General features: G+C 35.2%; 1 long non-coding RNA gene across 2 annotated transcripts; it reads left to right on the plus strand.

The window, feature by feature from the left end:
- The first annotated feature begins 1,106 nt into the window (after window positions 1-1,106).
- On the plus strand, window positions 1,107-7,350 carry LOC105377445 (uncharacterized). 2 transcript variants are annotated; one of them, XR_939237.1, is made up of 4 exons: window positions 1,107-1,662; window positions 3,852-3,884; window positions 4,703-4,864; window positions 5,014-7,350. It is a non-coding gene; the product is annotated as an uncharacterized LOC105377445 (long non-coding RNA). The 2 variants fall into 2 exon arrangements; XR_007058270.1 differs by lacking the exon at window positions 5,014-7,350 and having other exon boundaries at window positions 4,703-5,006.
- Window positions 7,351-10,151: the final 2,801 nt, after the last annotated feature.

Here is a 10,151-nt window from a genome sequence, read left to right on the forward strand (position 1 = left end):
TTACACCTAGAACTGAGGTTGGGCCGCTGCTTCCCTCTTCTGCTCTACTGCCACTCCCATCACTTTTGACTACTCCAAAATCACAGCCAAATAAATGAGAAAAGAACTCGATTTCACTAAATGGCAAAATAAAAATATTTAGATAGGATCATTCTTCATTAGGTTAGTTCGGTCTGGATTGCATTTAGAATGGAATCATTAAAAGTATCCCAATAGTGACAATACTCATTTATTCTATCTATTGAATTCCACCTTCTGAAAGCAAAGCAAGTTCACCCATATAAACTTTAATTGAGACGATTGTAAATGTCTCCTTTACTCTTACCTCCAGAGTGGTAACCACCTGCTACCCCATATAAACCGTTGTATGTCCAATCCTGGAGTTCCTAATTTCTCTTTCTTTATTATTGGATTATTTCATGTAACTCCAATTTTCCAACTAGGCTTTGACTTTAGCCACTGTGTCTTTGACTTGTTGGATTGATACTTTTCCAAGATAGAATAAAAATGAGAGGTACCTGCCAGCAGCCATGAAGATGCACCACCACTCAGATCTTCTGTTGAGGAGAGCGTAATTGACACAGGACCCCAGATGCTGTGCTTTGAATCCACCACCAATTCACACAGAGGCCATGCTTCCCATAGGCTAATCTTAGGCAAAGGGCTGGAAGTGGCAAGGATTCTAAGGCAGGTCCGTTTTTAGGAGTTCTAGAACACCTCTGATAAGCAACTTTGTCCCTAGAACTTGTCATCAACTTGACCAAAACTGTTTAGAATTCTTCTTCAGTAAGAGAATCCACTTATCTAACTTTCCCTCCTTCATACTCTTCTTCACAGCTGTTGGACCGTTACCGCCATCTGATAGCTCTCACTGTCTCTTCCAGCTCCTCCTCTGGCTCTCTCCCATTTTTTTCTTCACGGGTGTTTTCTCCAATAAATCCTTTCTTTTATTCAACCTCTAACCCCACCTTAGTGTCTGCTTCTTAAAGGACTTAAACTAACATGTACCCCCATCATAGCCTTTCACCTTCCACTTGTTTACCAAACCTACCCCAGCTACTCCGGCTGAAACTGGCCCAGTTGTCCTATTGACATTTATGGTTTCTTTTTAATAAGCATAGAAATTGACTGTCCCAGTCTTAAAACTTGAGAAAGTTACTTTTGTCTTGTCTGAGTTCTTTTCTCAGGAAACCAACCAACAGGCTTTCCAGATAGTATCTAGGAACTGAATTTACCAGATCACTGTGTCTAGACAATGAGACATTAGACCGAGCCCTCACCCTTCACGATTGCCTAACCGACCACCTGCTACACCCATCTTCTTTATCTCTCTCCAATTCCTGTCTTGCCATACATTGCTACATTTCTTCCTTGCTATATAAACTCCTAATTTTAGTTGGCTGAAGAGATGGGTTTGAGACTGATCTCTCATCTCCTCATCTGCCCAACTAAAGCCTCTTCTCGGGCAACATTCATGGTGTCAGTTATTGGCTTTCTGGGTGGCGAGCAGCAGGACCTAGACTGAGCCCTTGGTGTTTTGGTAACATGGCTTTCTTTGTTTCATCTGTGTAACAATGAAAGAGTTACACCAGGTGATTTTATTAGCCTATTTTCTCATCAGGAACAATACTCTACTTAGACACGGATAGTGTAGATTAAGTGGTAAGCTATTTTAGATTATCTTTTTGCTTTACAACTTTTAAAAATTAATGTTACCTGGATATTATTCATATATTGAAAAATTTTTTAAACTTCTAAACATAATCTTATAGCAATAGCAGAAATATAAAAATTTCTGTATTTTCCCTCTCAAATTCTATTGTACAGACAAAAATATTCAAATTTCAAAATTCCAGTGTGTATCCAATCTTCCACAGTTTCTTTTTTTTCAATCAATGTTATATTGTTAAAAGTTACTATAGAGAAGTTGTACAACTTTTCTGAATGTTTTGTGGCTTTAAGAAAGGGGAATATAGAGCACAATTAGACCTACTTGGGAGACCTTAGAAATGTTATAATTCACTTTCTATAGAAAAATAATGCAGTATATGAAGATATACTTGGTTATAAGGGAATAAAATGTATATTAACTGGGGTTTTTTTGTTAATGAAAATATGAATTGCCTAAATTTTTGGATAGTATAATAGTCAGTGTGACTCGGTTGATAAAGATAAATAGGGAAGATAATCAACACGTCTGGAAGATTTAAAGATACTTCTTGGTAGAAACTTGAATGAGAGAACCATCATAGACCTCAGCAGAAGGTAATCCTTAGAATGTGAGCTATTAGAATACAAAGGGCATTGGAGAAGTATAAATGGATAGTAGGGTAGTGAAGAATGTATTAATATATAGTTAGAGTTTTCCAAAGGGCCCAGCAATCTCATGATAAGGGGAAGGTTGGAGGACAAAAGAAGAGGCAGTGTGTGACACATACAGGAGAAAGCTGGAAAGCAGTAACATTTCAATGAAGGCAGAGGGCAGCCCCAGCATCTGCCCATTGCAAATGATCTCCACAGAACACCAATAGACGTTGAAAACTGTGCTTCTCTTCAGATTCTAGGATGCAATTCACAGAATTAAACAGTTACTTTTCTTTAATTAATTTGAAGATTCAATTCTTCAAGAGTGGCTTAGCTAGTTCCAGTGTAGAGTGCTTTGAATTTGTATATTTGGGACTCAATACCTTCCTAAGGAAAGACTTTATGCTCAATAAATGTTTGTTTGTTTTTTAACAAATGAATGCTAGTTGAACTAACTAATATCAATTTTTTATCCTCCATTTTCAGTAGTAAAGGAACAGCAGCACTATATATACCCAGTCAAATTTTATGTCGAAAATCAGGTAGTCAGGGTTTCATTTTTAAATAAATAGTTTAAAACAATTTTGAAAGGGTAAATTTAGATAACTCACAGAAAAATCATAATATTAAGTAAACACATAAAGATCTCCAGCATTTATAATAATATGAGAAGTATACATAATTATATTTGAGATATTTATCATGTATCAGATTAGCAAAAGTGAAAAAGAATCCATCATACACAGTGATTGGAAGGACATGTAGAAGTCAGCCATATTATACATTTCTGAAGTCATGCAACCTCTTTGGAGAGTATTGGGTTGGTGCAAAAGTAATTGTGGTTTTGTCTACTTTTAGTGGAAAAAAATAGCAATTATTGGGCTGGGCGCAGTGGCTCACACCTGTAATCCCAGCGCTTTGGGAGGCCAAGGCGGGCAGATCACCTGAGGTCAGGAGTTCGAGACCAGCCTGATCAACATGGTGAAACCCCGTCTCTACTAAAAATACAAAAATTAGCTGGTCGTGGTGGTGGCACCTGTAATCCCAGCTACTCGGGAGACTGAGGCAGGATTGCTTGAACCTGGGCAGCGGAGGTTTCAGTGAGCTGAGATCCCGCCACTGCATTCCAGCCTGGGCTACACAGTGAAACATCATCTCAAAAAAAAAAAAAAAGAAAACTGCAATTATTTTTGGACCAACCTAATGATTTGGCAGTATCAAAATTTGAAATAGGCTTTCCTTTAAATATAGGGCAATTCTTACATAAAAATATACATGATTTAAATTGCCACTGATAGCAATTAAATTAAACATTTGTATTTTAGCCATAACATGGAATACAACATATCCTGTTAGAAAATCAGAAAGACAGCCAAGCATGATGTAGAAAACATCATATGTTGTGCATCAGTACACAGTATCTTTTTAATTTTACAGATGGTTATATAAGTGTATGTGTAATAGTGTTTAGTTATGATTTTTCAAAACCAGTATTTAGAGCATAATCTCATTTTGTTTTTACTCTGGTTTCCTCCCACATAACAAAGATGCCACCAGAGACTCACGACTGGGATAACTGGGTAAATAATTATCTTGTTTGTTTCTATTAACCTTTCTTAAGTGTATGTATAGCTCACATTTATTTCAGTGTTTAATATTAAAAGTGTTTTGGTCTTCATTTGAAAGTTTGATGATGTTTTTGTGACCGGATATATGCCATAGGAACTTAACTTTGTTTATATCAATTAGCCTACAGTAAAATTGGTTTCATCACACATTGTTTCACTTCAGATTGCAGTACTTAAGAACCTATCAATGATGTTAAGTGAGAACTTACTGTACTTTTATAGCTATAATGTAAATTTTATATACTTTTATAATGGTAGAATTATACTTTTTACCTCATACTTATATTTGGAGTTCTGGACCCATTCTGTGAGCTAATTCTCTTATTTTTATTTTAATAATTTTTGGCTCTGTCATTGAGCAGATAATGCAACTGAATTTTTAAAACATAAAAATACTGAATCACACAATCACCCTTGGCTACTATCATCTATATATTAATATAATGTGTGTGTGCATGTACACATGTATGTATAAATCAAATATTTTAACTATTTGGTTTTATAATAGACAGATGGTTTCCCTTGGACACAAAAATATTCTAAAATTTCTGCTGCATGCTTCAATGCTTTTTAAGTAATGCCTTGTCATGAGGAAATAAAAGTTTACTACCATTCTCTTTAGAGTTCAGCCAGCCAGCCTATGAGCACAGATTTATAGAGTCAAGAGATTTATTGAATTAGCCATTCCTAAGGGTCAATTTTCAATCTTTGCTTCCCTTTTAATGATTAAGATGATTTCATTGCTACCTCAATGTTTCTCATTTACACAGGGGTACCTCAGAAAACCTCGAGGGTCCTGTTGACAATCACCCAATCTGAAGTCTGAGATAAATGATCCATTGTGTGTCATTGAAGACTTCTAATGAAGGAACTGACAGGCTGTAGGAATTACTGAGCTATTAGATCATCTCAGAGAAAGTGTGATACTCAATGTATGTCTCCTTTTTTCCTCTACAAAAGTGATGATTCATACATAATCAAAGAAATGCCATTTCAACAGTATGGCTGGAATTTTGAAAATCTCTAGCAGCTTGTCTTTTTTTCAGTAGACTAATAAATTTTACCTTTTTTTTTCCTTCAGTGGGAGGAGTGAGTATTTTGACTGTTCCTTTGCTCAGCATTCTTGAACAGAACACTCTCTACTTCCCATACCAGATGGAGGTGTGGCAGCATATTGAAGTCATTGGCAAAGAAGGAAGAGGAATATTGTAAATCATTCCAAAGTGGAGACACCTTGAGGGAATCCCTGGGGAATTAGCCAAGAATGTGTTGTAGAAGGAAAGGGAACCATAATATTTATCAGTTGTTCTTAGTCAGAAGATGAAAAGAAATGCAGATATATAAAGATGAAAAGAAATGTCGGAAAGCCTGATTTATATTATGAGCAAAACAAATGTCATTGTGTCTTTCTAATAATTATGAACCCTAGACAAAAAGTGGATACGTTTTAAAATCCCCATGTTGAAACTGGAATTACTATTGCAATATACCTCAGTAATGCAAAGACTGATTTAATTTCTCTCACAAAAGATAAAACAATTTATCGATGGCATTGACCGGGGAAGTGGCTTGCTAGGTATACTGTGATGAAGAAAATATTCTTGCCTTATTTTATTTTTGAATTGATTTCTAATTTAAAGAATAGTATTTTTTTTATCATTTGCCAATAAGGCAGCCTTAAACTATTGTCTACATTGTATCATGAGAGATGATAATATACACTGGGGTTCAGTATCAGTTAATGTGGCCATAAGTACCTTGAGAAAATAATTAACATTAAAGTAGGAGAAAAGAAACTGGTAAGGGTAATTGCCAAAACCCTCATTAGCAAGAACACTAAATATTCAATATAATGAAGGAATAATAAAGTAAAGATAACACCGGTTCTTATGGAATGTTATATATTTAATTCCAGGATGGGAGGACCATTTTGACTGGCAACATTACAAAATCCTGTTTCCCACTCTTTCCCTTAGCAACTGGGAATTTTCATCAAGTCCCCGCAGAAGATTGTGCTTCGGTTCAATTATGACATAGATCATTTGGAAGTGTAGCTTATTTTTAATTTTGATGATTTTACTTACTCAATAAGCACACTACATAAGAATAATCCTAATTATTCTGTTTTTGAGGACACTATTTTCATTTATTAACCACCTATGCAATGAAGAATTGAAGATCTATCTATACTAGGGTGACCAACTGTCCCAATTCACCTAGGACTGAGAGGGCTCCCACGACATGTGACTTTCAGTGCTAAAACTGGAAAAGACCTGGGAAAACTAACAAATTGTTCAGCCTAATCTATAGCCATGGGTCAGAATAGCAAGGTAACAATTAGGATAAACAACTCTATAAGGTAAATGTAGCAGACAAATCAGCTACTTCAATGGGAAAAAAGTTTGATTTATGACCAAATTGTCAAAGAAAGTCTGGTAAGAACTAAGGAACAATGGAAAATTAATCTCTTGTGCCTAGAGAATTGGGAACTTGGACTAAATGCTATTATTGGCAAGAGTTTTACTTCATTCTTCACAGTGTGATTCTCATCCAGCTCTTTCAAAAGGGTAACGATATTTAATACAATAACTGGAAGTAAAGTGGGTCATAATTATGATCATAATGAGGATACATCTTCTAATGCTCCTCTTGAATGTGTTTAATACATCCATAAGTTATTTGAAAGAGAGATAAATTCTGTCCTCTACATCTCATGGTACTCTGTGCAGTGTTGTGCAAACTCTTCATCAGTTAATCATCATTAAGTCCCCTTTTGTTGAAGACTTATTTTATGTCAGTCACTGTGCTAAGCACTTCAACTGTATTACATCATTTAATTCTCATGACACTCTTTTGGGGGATGTGGTGTGCCCCGAAACCAGCTTGCCTCCACTTAAGAGAACTGATTGGATACGTCTCTTCCCATCTCCTTTTTCAGAGATTCCATGTTTTTAGCTTGAAATGGGTCATGGTCCAAGCAGTTACACTATAGAAATTGGAAAAATACTGAAAAATAGGGGACTGTTTGTTTGTTTTGATTAGCTGCATTATTAGCACTACTGGAGATACGTATCATTACCTCCATTTTCAGATGAGCTATATGAGTTCAAAAAAGCTAAGGAACGGCCCAAATGCACTCATCTAATAAATAATACAGCTGTCTGCATGATTCTAATGCATACATGTTTTATAACCAGGGTACTTTGCCTTTCTCATGAAAGTACTAAAATTTATTTTTTTCTGCAATGTTGTAAAATTGCTGTCTGTACTATATGACAGAGAAATCACATCACCATTTATGTCCCTCTGTACTTTTGGACAATTTTAAATTAGTTTCTCTGACTTCACCTGAAAATAATTACTATTGTATATTCTACTACTTTGTACCAAAATAAATTTAAGTTAGCTTAAAATGTTAAAAAAAAAAAAGCAAAAAGTTAAAATGACAGGTTCTGAAGTATGTGAATTTTAATTTTATTTGTAAAGTTTCTCCTTAATAATAAAGAATTTAGAAGTGCATTTATAGACTAATATTTTTATTATGCTGAATTCACTATGCATTAAGAATATAACAAATAGGAACTAATCTCCTGAATACACTGATCATAAGGAAATGTTGCCAGAAGAAGAGATGCTTCCTAGTCTATATAAAAGATACTTGGTTTTCTACCCAGTTTGCTTATATCCTTTTTCTGTAATGGAATCATACTCTTATTTCCTCATTACAATTTCTTTGGGCTCTTTTTTTAATTTATATTTCTCTGCTGAGCATTCTTATTCTTTCATTTATACAAGCATTTTTTTCAAATCACAAGATATTTTAAACTCTTTCTGTGCTAATTAAAAAGTGTTGTATGTTGACATTGATTACCACTAAATATCTTTTTTAAAGAATGAATCCTGTTTTTCTGCTTTTCAAAAATTTTTAAATAATTCTGTTTTGTCTTCTAGATATTGTGAATATTACTTTGTGAATATTATAGATTCTATTTCCCTGAACAGGATTGATTTTTGTTGTTTCAGTCATCAATTAACTAGGTTGGTATTAAATTACAAACTATCTTTTGATGGCAGTTCAAATCTCAGTTCAGTGCTTTATTCTTGGCTGGGATGTTTAAAGTTTTTCACACAAAATGCATGGTTTAGGAGCCCGCCAGGGATTTTGCATACTTTTTCCATAGAACTTAGGACTCCCTATGTGTAACTCCTATTTTTCTGGGAGTTTTCCCTTACTTTCCAGCAGTTATGGTTGTCCAAAATGAGAAAGATTGTAGGCTTTTATTAGAGATTTAGTCAGCACATATGGCAGAGTCTAAAAACCCTCAAGCTAGCAACTGCAAAATTGAGCAATTGCCCCATGTCTTCCCTTTATCCAAAGGTTGACTTCTCTCCATAATTTTTCTCACCTTCCTGTGCCTTCAATAGTTTTTCTTTGTTTTACTTTGCTTTTTGGCTTATGTAGGGATACATTTCTATCATTTTAACCTTGTATTACTTGCATCAGTTCTATGGCATATTAACATTATTCTTGGGTTACAAGTAAATACAACTCAGCTTATCTTAAAACAGAGAAATGAATGGCTTACAATACTGAAATATTCCAAGAGTAACCTCAAGAGCAGCCGGATCATGGTGTTCAAAGAGTATCACCAGGAATTTGTCTTTCTTACATATATTATAACCTGGCTGTGATTCTTCATGGGCTTTGTTCTGAAGGACTCTCCTCTATGGTTCTCAAAGGTCCAGGCTTATGTGCTACCAGATTAAGTACATCAGCAGGAAGAGGCTTGCACCAGATGGTTCCAACAAAAGTTTAGAACCAACTTTTATTTTTTGGCCGATGGATTGACCTATTCCTAAACTAATCCTTATGACTGTACTCAATCAAAGGTAGATCTGTTTGATCTCTGGAACTGAGTGGTGAGTTCAGCCCCATGTAAGCCACATAGACTGGGATTGTCCCTAAAGAAAAAAGAAGGTGGCCATACTAAATGGAAGAAAGGCTGGTAGAGTCAAGTAGAATCTCTCTGATGACACAGACAAGGAGAGAAAAGCATGTCAGGTTGAAAGAGATAGAATGACCAATAACAGATGGTGACAAAAGTGAGCCCTTGTTCATTGTCAGCTTTCTCCTTAGTCCTCTTAAGAGCTGAGCCCAGGGCCTCCTCTTGAGTACATTTCCATTCTCTGACTCTTTTCATTAGTATTCTCATCTCTCTTCTCTTACCAACAGGGTCAGGGATTTAGTTCTGTTTCATTTTATCAGCATAATCAAACAATTTTCCTTATGCATGGGAAACAGCTAGGGACATATATCCAACAAAAACTTCATCCCTTCCAAAAGATTCTGAAGATGTGCAACACTCTTGTCACCAACAATGAAAATATACCAAGAAAATAAAACAAAAGCAATAAAAGTATACTCAGAACACAAAACAAAGTCTCCACGGAAAAAAAAAGTCATAAATACAAACAGTTTGTAAACAAGAGCACATAATTTCCAAAAATAATTCTTTCAGTTTACAATATGATTTTTGTTCCTCATATAATTCATACAGATATGTAAAGAGAATGTATAATTTTACTACCTTGTGGTAAGAATAAATTCACATTTATTTTCATGTGTGCATTATAATGGCTCTCGGGCCTCAACTCTAGTCACGAGGGAGTCCATTATTTCACTCAGGTTAAACTTGCCTTGATATTGTGCATTCAGAAAGCATCTGCAATATTTGTTTCCTTTAACATTCAGTGAGCTCAGTTCTAGTAATATTATTGATTCTTTTCTCTCTACTAATAATCTCTACATAGAGAAAGCCTTTAGTTGTTTTTACTAGTCTTTCAAAGTGTTGTTTTTCTTCTTTTATGTAGATAAAGCCACTTCACAGCTCCAGGTTGATGTCCAGTAGACTGTTCAGTCCCTCATTTTCTAATTTACCACTCATCTATATCATATACAAAGGCCTATTAAAAGAAGTAAAAATGCTGGCTTTGTTCTTCCTACTATAGGAAATGGTCTATTAAACAGAAGATTCCCTTGAGATTTTACGCTAGAGAAAATAGGCATGTATTTTCTGCTTCTAGATGCCTCCTTTGTAAATAGAGGCAGAATTCCAAAGGAAGGATTGCGAATTACAATCTGTTGTCTCATCCATACATCTTCTGATAGATGTGGTTTCTGCTCCCCCCATAAACAAGACCATCACCCTATAAGAGTCA

This window comes from Homo sapiens, chromosome 4 (genome assembly GCF_000001405.40).
Source record: "Homo sapiens chromosome 4, GRCh38.p14 Primary Assembly".
Taxonomy (NCBI): Eukaryota; Metazoa; Chordata; class Mammalia; order Primates; family Hominidae; genus Homo; species Homo sapiens.